The following is a 16,184-nucleotide window of genomic DNA, read 5'->3' on the forward strand; positions in this document are numbered from 1 at the left end:
AGGTAGGTTTGTGTAGACCTTCTCACCGCTGGAACAAGGTGTGAACAGGATGTTAGTTCACACAGCCTTATAAGTCATTTGAAGAGCTTTGAGCTTCATCTTAGGAGCACTGGAAAGCTAATAAAGGGTTTTAAGCAGGATAGAGACACAGTATTGTGCTGCAGGATGTTTACTTGTGTAACAGAGTCGGGAAAGAAGAGATGGGCTGTCAGGTTACCAGTGTTGGAACGAATCCAGGGAAGAGATTATGGTGGCCAAACTAGGGTAGTGGCCATGGGTGTGAAAGAAGCAGATTCAAGAGACACATAAGGGTGTCCATTGGATTTAGTGACTTTAGAGAGGAGAGGCAGGAGGTGAGGGCTTCTTTTACTTTCTAATCACTTTTTGAGTGGGTTTCTACTTAACTTTTGAGGTCAGGTTACTAGCCCCTCGTGTGATCTCAAATTGAGGATTTTAGTCCTATCTCAGACCCAAATGAGAAGCAAAAAGCCATCAAAGCCTCTCAATGTGGTCTAACATCTAATCTCTCCCCTTCAACCCAGGAGCCAGGAGACCATCCCAAGTTTGTATTTCAAATAGTTCTATTTTCTACAGTCAATGCTTGTTCCTCATTCCTGCTATGTACCAGAAACTTAGGAGTTACTCATAATTTGAGATGGTGGGTTTTGATGTATTCTGACACATGAAGGTTTTGTGCTATTTTTTCCCTGCTCCCTTCAGATTTACTCTGTGGCCCTCCGAGACTTCGTGTAACAGCAACTGCATTTTAATGCAATGGCAGCTATGGAAAACACAAAACTATCAGTCATTGTCAAATACTCCATAAATGGAGACAGAGAAGGGGTTCAGTTCTCTGTGTAACAAGGACAGAGGAGAAAGGTCAGTGATATATCATGTGGTATAGGATTTTCCCTTAAGCAATCTTCCGCTAAGACTTGCTCACAGTGTGGAAGCTTTTGTCTGCCCAGAGACTGAATTCTAAAACCACTCCTCAACTTAAAGTTCCAAATATTCAACGCTCTGTATAGCATTGGAGAAAGTGTAGAAGACGCTGCAAATGCATTTAGGGAAAAAATTAATTTTTGCCATTCGTGAAGTCCAGGAACTAATATTAACAGTTGTTTAACTTATGAAAAATTAATTAGATGACTTATAAATTATGTATGTGGGAAAAAGAAAATCTGTCAGTGGGTGGTTTGAGGATTCAGAAGAGCACTTAAGTTGATAACAAAAGGTATTTTGTGCAGCAGGTCACATTGGGGTAGGCTTTTATTCTTCTTTTGTGCCTGAAAATGGTGAATACAGAATTGTTCTTATGTAACTCCCTGGTAGTGAGGGAACTAGTCATTCCCATAACACATTTATCATTATGTGTGTGTCTGCTATTTAGAAGTATAGAAGAGAGTAGACAAAAATTTAATGAGAAAGTCAGAGAACTGAAAAGTCGCTAGAACAGCTAGAATATCTGAATGCTGAACCCGTCTGCCTAGCAACATGGCACAACCTCATAATGAGCCCTTCTCCCAGATCTCTTGAGAAAAGAATAAACACAGCAACCCTGGAAGTCAAACTCATACATGTGATATAGAAATTAAACAACAGATCTAATTCTGAAACAAGTTTAGATTTATCTGTATTTTAAAAAATATTGTAGAGCAATGAAATATATTTTCTTAATCTGACTTTTAAAGGAATATTTAATTTATGGTACTTTTTTCTGGTTAATTTTATCTTTTCCATACCAAGTAATATAGGCAGTTGCAACATCCATGAAGAGTTGTTAATTGGAGCACAAGGTACTAGAAATGTTCAATCTCACTTTGAAAGACACATTACAAATATGAATATCAATTAATATGCCTTTAAAAAAGTTATATAAATCTATTTTTGGGAAAATGTTTATTTTGAATAATTAAAAACAAAGGTGATTTGAACTCAAAATAATTTATTCTAGTTTAAATTTTATAATGAAAAGAAAAATAACGATGATTTAGGAAACAGCTATTCTGAGTTAACCATATATTTATCTTCACTTTCAACCTTTGTAGGCATAATTGGAGTCTCTAGTATAAATCAAATAACAATCTTCAATTAATATATCATAGATGATTAAGCATTGTATGAAAGAAATCAAATTCTGATACTCTCTGATTTTCTACAGCTGTTTCCCTTTTACTCTTTTCCTTAAGCTTCTTAAAGAAGAGATATGTTGTTTTCTGTATTTAAAAAAAATAGTGCAATTAACACTAAGCAGCAGTGTCTCAAATAAATAGGAAGACATTGATAAATTTGGCCAGAATTACAAAGACTTCTAAAAGAAAAGTATTAATATACCTATAGGATGGTCTAAAATTCAGAGAATACTTTTCTCCACATACTGAATAATCAGGTAGTCATTTATAATTCCAGGTGGGTGTGGCTTCCTTCATTTTAGGGAAGACTGACTAAGGGCTTCACTGTAGTATTGTAGTATTCCACTGGTTTTCAAGGTAATATTACCCTTGAGATTTTATCTTATACTTAGGATTCTACAGAAAAAAAATTATGCGTGAAAATGTTAACTGCAACTTTATGGTCAACTCTAAGGTCCTCTTTTAATCCACAGATGCCCAAATACTAACTTAAAACTGAGTGAATGAAACATGTCTCATTATATTCTAGGCATCTGCAGTGTCAAATCTACAGAGACAAGTGCACCTGGAGACAAATGACCAGACTACCATAAAACAGAAGCTTAATTATGTTCACTTACATTTTCAAATTATTCCCAACAAATTACCCTGGTAGGTGACACATCCATCAAGCCAAGACTCTAATTTCACATTCACAGTAATATGTTTCTGTAAACTACTGTAATAAGGTTTTAACTAAATTTTCCCCTTGACCTTACTGTGCTGAAATATTGCAGGCTGTGTGTTTTCCAGTTTCTCCAATTAATTTCTGACCTTGGTGCTGCCTGGGCACAATGAGGCAAGTGAAGGGTGGAGATCAGATTTAATTTTGAATTTCCTGACTGCTGCTGGTCTGTATCTCAACTTGAACATTACTTAAACATGTTATTTTTGGTCAATGACTTTTTTATGCAGCACACTGGGCAGATATAATTAAGCAGGCTAAGTTTTGTTCTCAGCTGTCCTCTAAGTTCTTGCATGGGAACTTGGAGTCTCAACAGGAAACACCTGTATGGTGGTTGTATACCAAGCATTCCCAGAGAATTAATATATAACATTGTTCCTGAGCTTCTCAAGCTATTCCCCAAATAGAAATGCCCAGCTGTATTTGAAGGCTGTATTTTCAATTACTAGTGAAAATGCAAGCTTTTAACTTAAAAGTAAACTTTATTATAAAGATCTATTTGGCTTAGCTATATTAAGGGTCAGCCTCATCATTCGTTTATTTCGTCATTCAATATTAGACTTTTTAAAATTCAAACAACCTTTATTGAATGCCTACACTATGTAAGGACTGTGAAAGTATAAGAGAAATCAGACTTAGGCCAGGCGCGGTGGCTCACGCCTGTAATCCCAGCACTTTGGGAGGCCAAGGCAGGTGGATCACCTGAGGTCAGGAGTTCCAGACCAGCCTGGAACTGGTCTGGAAACCATAGTGAAACCCCATCTCTACTAAAAATACAAAATTTAGCTGGGCATGGTGGTGGGTGCCTGTAATCCCAGCTACTTGAGCGACTGAGGCAGGAGAATCGCTTGAACCTAGGAGGCGGAGGTTGCAGTGAGCCGAGATCATATCACTGCCTGGCCTGGGTGATAGAGCAAGATTTTGTCTCAAAAAAAAAAAAAAAAAAAAGGAAAAAAATATGTGTATATATATGTATACATGTATTTGGTGGTGTTCTTGCTGTTGTTGTTGGTTCTGTCTCTCCGGTGGGCCCTGTCTAATACATTGGGGGCCTTTGTCAGTTTCAGCCCCAGCTAAGGATGGGAAAATAGGTTCCTCCCAAGAACTTGCAGTTACAATCTTCTCTCATTCAGCTATAGAATTTGAATTTACTACAACAGAGATGTCCAGATGACATCTAGTTAAGAAATTGAAGTTATCAGGGATCTGTTCTGCCTCCATGGAATATAACAGAAGCAAGCCCAATTCTAGTCAATGATGATACATGTTCCCCCAGACCTCACAGTATCCCTACAGATAAAGCATCAACTCAATAAAAAATTAGGATTTGTATTCAAAACATACACATAACTACTAAAATTCAATAATAATTTTAAAAAACTATATAAGTTGAAAAATTGGCAAAAAAAAATCTGAATAGACACCTCGCCAAAGAAGATATACCGATGGCAAAGAAGCTATTAAGATATGATGAATATTATGTCATTAAGGAATTGCAAAGTAAAACAATGATGCAACACCACTACATGCATATTATAATGGTGAAAATCCAAACACTGCTAACATCAAATGCTGATGAAGATGTGGCACAAGAGAAACTGTCATTCATTGCTGGCGGGAATACAAAATGGTACAGCCACCTTGGAAGACAGCTTGTCGGTTTCTTACAAAACTAAATATAGTCTTAGTGTAAGATCCAGCAATCACATTTCTAGGTATTTAGCCAAATAAGTTGAAAACTTATATTCATACAAAAATATGCACATAAATATTTACAGAAGCTTTATTCATAATTGCCAAAGCTTGGAAGGAAGCAAGATATCCTGCAATACGTGAATAGATAAACAAACTGCAGTATATCCATATCTTACTGAGTAATTACCACTCATGGGTTTCAAGTTACTTAGTGATAAGAAGATGTGATCTGGCTGGGTGCCATGGCTCACACCTGTAATCCCAGAACTTTGGGAGGCCAAGGCAGAAGGATCGCCTGAGCCCCAAAAAAACTTGTAGATAAATGTGCATAGTAGCTTTATTTAAAATATTTAAAAATTGGAAACAATCCAAATATCCATCAACAGGTGAATGGAGGAGCAAATTATGTTAAAATAAAATACTACTCACCAACAAAATGAATAAACAATTGATACATGGTACAGTATGAGTGAATCTAAAATAATTATGCCAAGTAGGGGAAGCCAGACAAAAAAGAAAATGTGCTGTATGATTTTATTAATATAAACATATTGGTTAACATGAGGGCTCATTTATGTCATCATAGGCTTTATGAAAAAACATCAACAGCAAGAAAAATAATTATAGAATGTCAAAATTGGAGAGTAAGAAATAAGATGGAATAAAAATACTATAAATAAAAGAAATGAATATAAATTAAGATCAGCATGGTTGAGTATTTTTTTCCAGTAATGTTTAGGGCATTGTTATACATGGAGTAGGCAAAGAGTTGGATCTAACTAAGTTTGGAGTTTGGTGAGGAGAGTATGTCTAAGAGCAAAGCAGCAAGTGACTGAGGATATATAATAGGAAGTTATAAGCAGAGTTGAAGGAATATAAGCTGAAAGCAGGAAAGAAAAATTTTGAATGGAATTAGGGTCAAAGACAAAGTAGAAAATTCCAGTATAGCCAAAGAATTATTGGAATTTGAGTACTAGAGACAGTGAGCTAGAAAATAGGAAGCATTACAATTAGTCAAAAAGTAGGATGATTACACCTGAGATAATAGAAGGGGTACAGTTATTGGAAACATCAATATTTAGGATATTAGCCTGAGAGTGGGTAGCTAATGTGGGATAGAGGGCAAGATCATTGGAGTAGAGAAGTCAAGGAACTGAGAGGCCAAGATGTTGGAAGAACAGTCCACATAGATACTGAAATTGCTAAGAACGATGACAATCACATAGGATAGAGTGACAGTACTCTGCTAAAAGAAACTTTTAACAAATGACAGGAATAGCCCAGGGAAATGCACAGAGGCAAATCTTAGGATAGAAAGAGCTTCAAAAATGAGGCTTTTTTAGGGAGTAAGGAAGGTAAGCATTTGGAAATGGTAATTATCAGTAATAACGTCTCCTCATCACCAGATTTAAGACGAGGTGACTGTGGGAGGAAAAAATGCTCCATTTGAGAGAGCTGCCAGGGAAAGAATTTCAGGGGAGAGACAGGTTTCCCTCAGATAAGGAAAGTGAAGGGAACACTCACAGGACAGTTTGAGCATATAGAGAATTTCGTTGGTTACAGATGTGAGTACCAAGAAATATTGACAAAATTGTTTAGGAAGAAATCTTGTTTATGTGTGGACTATGAATAGATTTTGTTCTGTAAACTGTGTACTTAGGCAGATGTTTATGCGTAGATGGTTGTTGTGGTTGGCTTCCCATTCAATAAAGACAGCCTCTTTATGCTCAATATTATCATTTACAAACATCAAAGATGTTCTTTTTTTTCCCAACCATTATAATGTGTGTATGTACATATGTATGGCTAATATCACTAACCAGGCTACAATTAACTCAATTTAAGACCCATATATAAACCACATAGAGAACAGAAGTGTCAACACAGGCACAACATAATTGGCATATCTCAGATGGAGAACAGGCATTAACCAGAACTTGTAAGAACACTTAGTACCATAGTTTCCTGTTTGTCTGCTTAAACAACAAGCATCTTCATACAGCTCTGATATTTCTCAATATGTTGAATAGGATATGCTCATTCTCATTGACTAGAAGGTGCAATTCCTATTTTAGTGAATCCCGGTTCCCCATTGCCCTAGTTTACACAAAGCAATGTGCATTGCAAGTGCAGAGGAAGTTTGAGGGATGAGGTTGGGATTGAGGTTCACTCTGCCAGGACACCACTCGCTTCACTTTTCCCGAGATTTAAGGAGGGCAAAGGGAGCTGCCAGTGCCACGAGCTAGCTCCCACATCAGTAGCCCACCTCTCAAACTTTAAGTGGCCTGAAGAAGGAAAGTTAATTGCTCTATAATTACAGCCTTGGCTGGGTAAACTCATTTTCAGGCAGGTCATGGAGACAAAGAGCTTGTGTATTGTCTTTCCATGCAGTGACATTCATAGTGGGATGATTTTGTGTGCTTTGAGGATCAAGAATCCCATTATCCTGTCCTATGTGTGGTCAAAAAATTCTTAATATTTTTGCATTCCATAACTTAAACACTAGACATTATTTTTCTATTGAACCCTGTTATTTAGCCTTTGCATAGTTAAGGGATCTAAAAATTGCAGTCATCATATGCCCAAAGTTTTAATGTGACTAGATCAAGCTGGCATATTAAAAATTTTAAGGAAGTTATTCAAAACATGCATCCTTTTAGGAAACTTTAAAATTTACCAAAAAAAAAGAGTTAAAGTGGAATTTATTTTCTTCAAATTCCTTTATAATATCTTTAAAAAACCCCCAAAAACTGATGACTCCCAAATCCCACTACTCTTTATAGAGAAAAAAAAAAATACTATTTTTAAAGATTTATGCTACTTTTAGTTTCATAATATCTCTGGAGACTATAAATTGGTGCTTTCTACGGAACAATATATCAAGCTTGTTCTTTAAAGTTTAAATAGCTGCTAAAACTAATATTTTAAAAAAGAATAGAATAGCTATATCATTTAATTGTCTATTATTCTGTCATTTAATCAATTTATGCTTTATTTTTATGATTCTCATCAAAACAATAGCAATGTTCAAGAATTTTTAGTCAACTTCAGCTTGAGCAATAGTGTTTAAACATGCCTATTATGCAAATTATTTCTCAACATTCTTAGAAAACATATCTGTGTTGTTATTGTTTTATCATTTCTATCAGTTTAGATAGCAGAGGTGTTAGTGAAACTCAACACATCTTTAAAATTTTTCTGAGATCTAATAGCTGTTCATAACAGAAATTTCTCTTTAGGAAAAAAATTTCACTGATGTTTGAAGCCTAAATTCATTCCATAGACAATAATCAGGAGTGTAGTATATGTCTGGCAGTCTACCAAACAATGAGAATGTGGATATGAGAAACATAGAGTCCTCTAGAGAGAGAGGGAGGGATTCCAATAATTCAGGGAACTCTCCTCAATGAGAAAGTATGTTTAAGTTAAATTTGTAATGTTAGTTTTTCCAGGCAGAAGAAGCAGAGTGAAGAGAGGACATTCCAAATAAAATGAATGGTATGTACGAACGTAGTATGTATGGAGTGATGGGGTACAAGTATAGTAATTCAGTGTGGCTGACATGTGCTTAATAGGGAGAACAATGAGGGAAGGGGCTCAAAGGGAAGATACCTGTCAATCATGAGGGACTCTACCTGCCATGGGATTTGTTATTTGTCTCTTGGTTATGGAAAGCCGTTGAAGGATTTTTTTTTTTTTAAGCAAAAGATGGCTGGACTGAATTTATATTTTAAAAATTGTTTTGGCAATCATGATCATCCTCAAGTTATCAGTTGAATGCTTGTTATATGTATTATCATAGTTAATCTTCAAAAACACACTGTGAATGAAATACTACTATTATTCACATTTTACAAATAAAGGAGTTAAGGAATGTGTCCAACATCATTCATCTATTAAGTGATGGCGTGTTGGGATTTTAAACCAGGCCGTTTAAATGAAGCCCCCTCTCTTAACTTCTACATGTCACTGCCTGAGTACATTCTACTGTAGTGCAGAGGATAGGGGATGGGCAAAGGGACTATTGAAATAGAGTAGGTAGAACAGTGGTTGATGAGAAACAAATAAACTTAAGAATTATTTAAGAGTATAGTGTCCAAATACCTTGTTTTGAATTGGATCCATCAGCATTTGAACTGTCTGAAAAATATACTGAGAAATATTTTATATTTTTAATTAAAAAGTATGATTACTACATTATGATACAATTTGTGTGCAAGTCTCCTCGCCCATTCTCTGGGGCTACATTGTGAGTAATTCAGCTTATTTGCTGTCTGGTTAGCCGAAGGCTTATTATACAATCAAGGCAGATCACAACGGCCAGCTGCGTGGATAAAATTTCTATGAGCTTGTCCAACAGGAGATAATATACAGACACACTATATTGCTCAAATTTTCTTTTCATAAATATAATATTCATGCTTTTTGTTCAGCTTTTATCTTTGTCATATCTTTATGTGTTTTTTTCAGGAAAGAAATATTTGGTGGGTTTAATAGGCTGATTATTTTAAATCAAAACCTTTGTTCAACACTGTCTTGTGATAATTAAAAGAAAAATACCGGTTTGTTGTAAAGAAAGCTACATTTGTATGGTAGAAGGACTTTTTTTCTGGTTTTTATAGTCAATAAACATACCGGTACATTTACATCTAAAATACTAAATACATACCCAAGAGTGTTCAAATATTTCATGATATGGTTTCTTTCTGATAATTCACTATAGTATGCCCTAAATAATTGTATCTGGATTATCAATAGAGTCCCATCTAACTCAGTAAAAAAGGCAATGCTCTAACCATGTTCTGTCGGGTCTTTCATGACTGATCCAGCTGTTTCAATCCCCCTGTCCCCTGTTATCTACCCAACGTCATTTTCCATCCCCCTCCCCCATCACTTACTCTTCCTGGCCATATTGACTGCTTTCCTTTTCCTCAAACATGCCAAGCACTCAAGGTCTTTGCAATTGCTGCCCTCATGATTGGGACACTTTTCCTTCAGTTATCCAGATGGCTGGCTGCCTCATTTTCTTCGAGCCTTTGCTTAAAATATCGCTCGATCAGAAAGGCCTCCTAAACCACCCTACGTATACCACTTCTTCCACAAAACTCTTTCTCTCTTACCCTGTTTCATTTTCCTTCATTGCAATATCCCCAACAGATATAGTATACATGTATTTGTATATTTGTTTGTCTCATAGCACTAAGATGTAATCTCCATTAAGTCAATACCTAGGATATAATATTCACTGACTTTGAATGGAAAAATATGTTAATAAATGAACAACAGGCAATTTTTTCCACCTAAATGCACTGCTCCTCCAAATTTGTTTAAAGTGGTTTAAAGTATTTTTCAATTGCTTTATCTTGGCAACATGGAAAGAATATTTAGCATTATGAATACTCTATGAAGGGATCATTGCAAATATTTAAGCTTAGGTCAGTGAGGCATAGATTTAATTTTGTTTCATTTTTAATATACCATTCACTTCTTTGAAAGCAAAATGTCTTTTTAAAGAACAAAAACTATATTAAATACACACTATCTAAATAAAACATAAGGATATTATAGGTTGTCGTCAAAAACATTTTTCATATTGTCAGTACATATTTTGCACACTATTGTTTATTAAATATTGAGAATTTTTTTTGGTAAAAGCTAATTAAAGAATCCAAAGAACCAAATTACCAAATTGATGAAGTCAGGGTGAGAGGAGTTAATTAAGGTTTTATCTATTGGTGTGTAAACAGGTGGTCATTGCATTAACCCAGACAGAAACCCAGATTGAAAAATTCAAGAAATAATTAGGGGAAAGGAGAGTAGAGATGGAAAAATACGTTGGTTTTGATATCCTGTTTTACATCCAATTTTAGTTGTCCAATAAGTAGTAATCGGAATTGTAGCTCTGAATCTTAGAAGTATGTTCTGGAAGTAAATATTTTATAACTTTTAGAATGTATACAGTCATTGAAATTATGTGGATAAGGAAGATTACTTAGGGAGGGTGTATATGTCAAGGTGAGAAGGTGGAAAATATTATTTCATAAATGCTTAGCTCACCAATTATTTTTACACCCATTACAGTTATTTATTATTCTTTACTGTCTCTGCATTTATATTCCTCCATTTTTACTGTGTTTTTAATTAATTTCTTTTTTCTCAATAGGTGATGCTAGATGTATTTATTTTATCACTTTATTGAAACAAGCGACTTTTAGTTTTCATTAACATTTTAATTGCTTTTTTGTTTTCTATTTTTTTGATTTTTACTCTTTATAATTTCCTTCCTTCTAGTTTTTTGAGGTTTACTTCGTTCTTCTTTTTCTAGTTTCTTGAGTTACATGCTATGGAAAGAGAAAATTTAAAGTGTCATTTTTTTAATGTAGTTATTATATACTCTATGTTCTGTGATTCAGTTTTTGATTTTTAAAAATTCTGTTTGGCTATTAGGTCATGGTTGAAGCCAAATACTAAGCCTCTAATTAGCACTTGTCAGTGAAAATCTTTGGTAGAATAAAAGATTGTTGAATATAGTGCAGTGTGTGTCAGTTAGCTATTGCTATCACAGTGCTGTATAACCAGCTACTCACAAATGCCAGGGACTTAAGACAGCCATAATTAATCTCGTAGATTTGTGGGCTCACTGATGGGCTCAGCTGTATGGCTCTGTTGATCTCAAGGGGGTTTGGTCTTTTGTCTAGGGTTCAGCTGGAGGTGAGTTGATGTAGGTTTTATGTGGCTAGGATGGCTGAATTCTTTTGCCCAAACAAGCATATTTTTCTTGTGGCAATGGCAAAGGCGAATGAGAGCTAGCTCAATAATGCAAGCACTTTTCATGTTGTTGGTCATGTGACACCCAATAACACTCCATCGCAAGTCAAGTCACAAGACAGAAACCAAAGTCTAGGGGGTGGGAATACATAATCCTCTTTAGTCAGATTGCAAACATCCCTTGTCACAGAGAATGGGTACAGGCGTAGATGGAGAACAAGAGCTTTTACTGAAATTAATTGAAAACACAATACAACTATAGATAGCTTGAGTCAGTATTATTTTTAAAAGCTTGATGGCACCAGGAGAAGAAAGCTAACCAATGCTCAGATGAAGTACATTTTGTGTCAAATTTTAAAATGCTTTGAATGTTATATTTTAAAATATGCTTGTCATCATAAGCATCCTTTGCTCCTTCCTTTTTCAGAAGCCCCCTGAAACACACACACACACACAAAGTTGAACCTTACTTCTTGTGAAATTAACTGTTCATTTCAAAGCCGTACTTATGAATTGGTGGCGAAGCAAACACCATGAAATCAGTCTCTATACTTGGATGTAGACAAATGGTATTCCACTGTTAGAAATATCTTAGATTCTGTCTCCAACATTAATATTGATCATTCGATTTTTGTTTCTTGTTATTTATGTGGCGTGTTGTTTTCCTTCTCTTCTTTTTAAACTTTTTGAGTCATTTCATTTTAGAAATGTATTTACTTTTTAACAGTCTCATCCAATAATCTGCCTTTTAATCAGAAAATTTAATCCACCAAGTTTTATTGTGCTTACTCATTTGTTTGGAATTCTACCTACTAATGTTTCTGTTTTCTCTTTGTTTCTGATTTGCTTAATTTTGATGGTTTATTTGATTTTTCCTTTCTTTCTTGCTTTCTATTGAATTGGTAATATTTTTCTCCTTTATTCCCTCTACTAGTTTGGAAACCATACATTGTATTTATATTTTATTATCACATACATATTTGACTCTAACTTTCTATAACTCAGAAGTTATTCTATATCTCCAGCTGATTTATTTATTTATTTATTTATTTATTTATTTATTTATTTTGACAGAGTCTGACTCTGTCACCCAGGCTGGAGTCCAGTGGGGTAATCTCAGCCCACTGCAACCTCCACCTCCCGGGTTCAAGTGATTCTCCAGCCTCAGCCTCCCGAGTAGCTGGGACTACAGGTGCACGCCACCAAGTCTGGCTAATTTTTATATTTTTAGTAGAGACAGGGTTTCACCATGTTGGCCAGGCTGGTCTCAAACTCCTGACCTCAGGTGATCTGCCGGCCTCGGTGTCCCAAAATGCTGGGATTACAGACATGAGCCACTGCACCCAGCCTCCTGCTGATTCTTAAACAAGACAAGGTACTACATTAAACCTTCCTCCTATTCTGCACCCTTATCTCCATGCGTCTCTGAATATGATGTCTGTGTCTCTTCACACGATTTTTCTCTTTACCCTTAATAACCTTTATTTTTTGACGTGGTTTATTTAAACACAGGCTTATTTTTATTTAACCCTCTTGGTACTTGATGTTCATGGTCTAAGTTTATCTTTCTTCAAATCTAAAAGTTCTTATCTATTCACTTTCTAAATATCATTTTTCTGCCATTCTTTCTATTTTCTTTCTTTCTTTTTGTTTTTTGGAGTGCCAATTAGCATGTGTTGAGTCTTCTCAAACTCTTTTCCATCTCCATTAACCAGTTTTTAATATTTTTAGTCTCTTTATCCTTCTGCAATATTCTGGCAGAATGCCTCAGGATTTTCCTATGTTCACTAGCTGTCTCAATTACTAAAACCAATTGAGAGGTTTTCTGTTTTAGTTTTTTATTTCATTTACTGTATTATTTGTTAGATTTTTACTTCACTATTTTTTTCTTTTCTTTTTTGCTATTTTATATTTTCTTTTTTTCCCCCCAGTGGTCTTGTACTTTTTATATCTCTTTGAAGATCCTTAACATATATGCTTCAAATTGATTTTCATATTTCTCTATCATATTTTCATATTTTATCTAGACTGAATTTATCTCATGGCTGCTGTTCCTAAATTGGTATTCTTCATGAATTTTGGAATATCAGTTTCCAGATCCATCTTGACTGAAAGCCTGTCATGGTCTGTAGTGTGGCTAGGGGGCCTCTATCTCACATCAATATTGTAAATAGTGCAATCCAGATGCCAAGCTATTGGGTGGTGTAGTCTTCGCCTCATTTCTTGGCATTATCTACTTCCTCTTGTCCCCCTAGTGATGCAATTGTATAATAGTTCTAACCATTGATTCACATACGTGGTGAGCACCACTGTTCTGAGCTTCCATCATGGCAGGGAGAGCCCCACTGAAGCACCTCATTTCAGGTTGTGAATTCTTACTTAGTCCTATCTCCAGTGGGGCACTTTCAGTTTTTATCATGCACTGGAAACCAAACTGCCAGTAGGCTCTACTTGCTTCCATTTCTGGAACCAGCTAGCCCCATCTACTTTGTGTTTCGTTTCTATTTCTGATCAAGAACATGGATATTTTGTCTTTGAGAGTGGTTTTATCTTTCTGATTTCCTGTATTTTGCTTCAATTAAAATTCTGATGGGAAATGGGTGTGAATTTATAACACAGGAACTGGATACTGTTCATTTATTGATAAAGTGGAAATGGCAGATATATTTCATTAAGCTAGTTTAGTATTCTGGATATCACAGTTGCTAGTAGTGATGCTCATGCTACTCTTACTTAGGCAAGTGGTTCAGTGGCCCTTGGATGGGGAATGAAATAAGAATTTGGTGCAATTTTCTCTGTATAATGAAAGTAAGACAGCTAAGTTACTTTTTGAAATACAAACTTTGTTACATATACCTTGTCGATTCCAAATATTTGTTTGCTGAATTTAATGACATTTTATTTAATTTTATTTTTTGGAAACCTGGGCTTGATACCTCATTGTCTGCCAAAGATCAGATGTCCTCAATGTAACATTCAGCGAGCAGAACCAAAATATACTTTGAATATACTTTGAAACCTTGTTATAAAAGATTAATGAACTTTCATTCAATGGGTACTTTTTTTCTTCCTTCAAATTTTCACATGACTGATAACTTATCAATGTGTATTGTATGTTACAAATGAACTTGTCAGAAAAGGAATTATAGATGTCCAGGAACCAGAGATAACCTTGAGACTCATTTCCTATGCCCCACCCTGGATAATGTACAGAATGTTCTTTTCTTAGGGAAAAATGTTCATTATTGTCAGAAAATGATTATTATAATACATTAGTCTCAGAGTTATTGGGGTTTTATATATTGTAAGGTTTATTGTGCTTTTATAGTATACAAAGATATACAGGAATATATGGGATACAACCGCAATAAGTACAACATGAGAAGTTGCCATTTTGCTCTTGATGTTATGAGAATATCATGTTTGACGACATGCTTGTAATGGAAATGGAAGGGTCATGATTCAGATAATCTTCAAAGGGGCTTGAATGGTAAAATATTTGATAAATTCTTATTGCACTTGGCAAAAACAAACATCTTCCACCCAGAACAATTTCATATATACTATTTAAAAATATCTCCTGTTTTTCTGAAGTTGACAGTTAACATTTTATGTAGCATGTGAACCAACTTTTCTTCAAACAAGAATTCAAGTTGTTAAACAGCTGTCGTTGTAAGAAATTTTTACCAACAAAATCATTGGTAGAAGTAATTCATGGGGATAAAGTAAGGAAGAAAAAATTTACCAAAACTGAGACTAAGTTAGATTAGAAGACTTTCATCTTATTCAATGAGTCCAATCTTGAGATGCTTATAAAAAGAAAAAAAAAAATGAGGACAGTCTCAAAACATCCGTAGCACTGGACGTGTAATGTTAAAGAGAGAATTGTGAGACCAAGGCATAAAAGAAGAAGAAGAAGGAAGCCTGGGATTTCAGATCTCCTAAACACCATGGCTGCTCCACAATTTCTGAAGAAATTGTGAGTCCTTTCCACATAGCTTAGTTTTGTCAACTCTCAAAGCTACTTTTGTATAATGCTTTTCATATGATATAGGAAAACATCAATCATATATCTCAAAAATTCTGGGGAGAGAAGAAGTTGGAGATTATAGCCAGACCAATTCCTTACTCTTTTCCCCTGTCTGATGCCACCAGGTGCTCCTAGATCCAAATGTCCCCAAAACAGCCTATGTACTTTGTGTCCTATAAGCTGCCCTTCCATTTTACATACTGATTAATACAAAAATGCAAAAATCCTGCATTGACAAGTTCAGTGCTTCAGGACCATTCTATGAAATAAAATAAGAGACAAATTTACAACTTAGGGCATTGGAAATAGGTTCTTGAGAAGGTTAAAATAGACCATGTCAAGTCACAGGCTATGTGGGTCACCACCAGTAAAAACCAAGCAGAGGTGAGGATGTCCTAGTCTTAAGTGGCTGTAATTGATGATATTTGCCTTGAAATCAATAGGTCCATTTTATGTATATTCACCTGTACCAACCGCAACCAAAAATGTGGAAGGAAAAATAACTAATAGACTTTTCTTGAAGGGTGTGGTGAGAAGGAATTACAGTGTTTAAATTGAAATGAGATGAAAATCAGTGTTCTCCTACCTGAATGGGAAAGGTTTTCAAATAAATTTGGTGACTCAAAAAATAAACATTTTTGTTAGACATAGGTTAACTCTTAGATAACAAATAAAATCACTTTCTAATAGTACAGATTTTTAAAAACTGTCAGTATTCATGAATATTTGCATGAAATTTTTGTTTGTCCTACTTGAATGACTACTTGGAAGGCACCTACAGAAGCGTCCACCAAAAGCTCACAGATGCTGCCATTCACAAGTAGCTTTGAAAATA

General features: G+C 35.1%; 1 long non-coding RNA gene across 1 annotated transcript in view; it reads left to right on the plus strand.

Annotated features, from left to right (window-relative positions):
- The window catches only part of LINC00446 (long intergenic non-protein coding RNA 446), a 40,713-nt gene that overhangs the window by 16,319 nt on the left and 8,210 nt on the right, over positions 1–16,184 (plus strand). The window contains exons 3-5 of the long non-coding RNA NR_047028.1: positions 721–879; positions 2,662–2,783; positions 7,995–8,049. This is a non-coding gene — a long non-coding RNA (long intergenic non-protein coding RNA 446). The remainder of the gene's footprint in view (positions 1–720; positions 880–2,661; positions 2,784–7,994; positions 8,050–16,184) is intronic.

Source organism: Homo sapiens, chromosome 13 (assembly GCF_000001405.40).
Source record: "Homo sapiens chromosome 13, GRCh38.p14 Primary Assembly".
NCBI classification, from domain to species: Eukaryota; Metazoa; Chordata; class Mammalia; order Primates; family Hominidae; genus Homo; species Homo sapiens.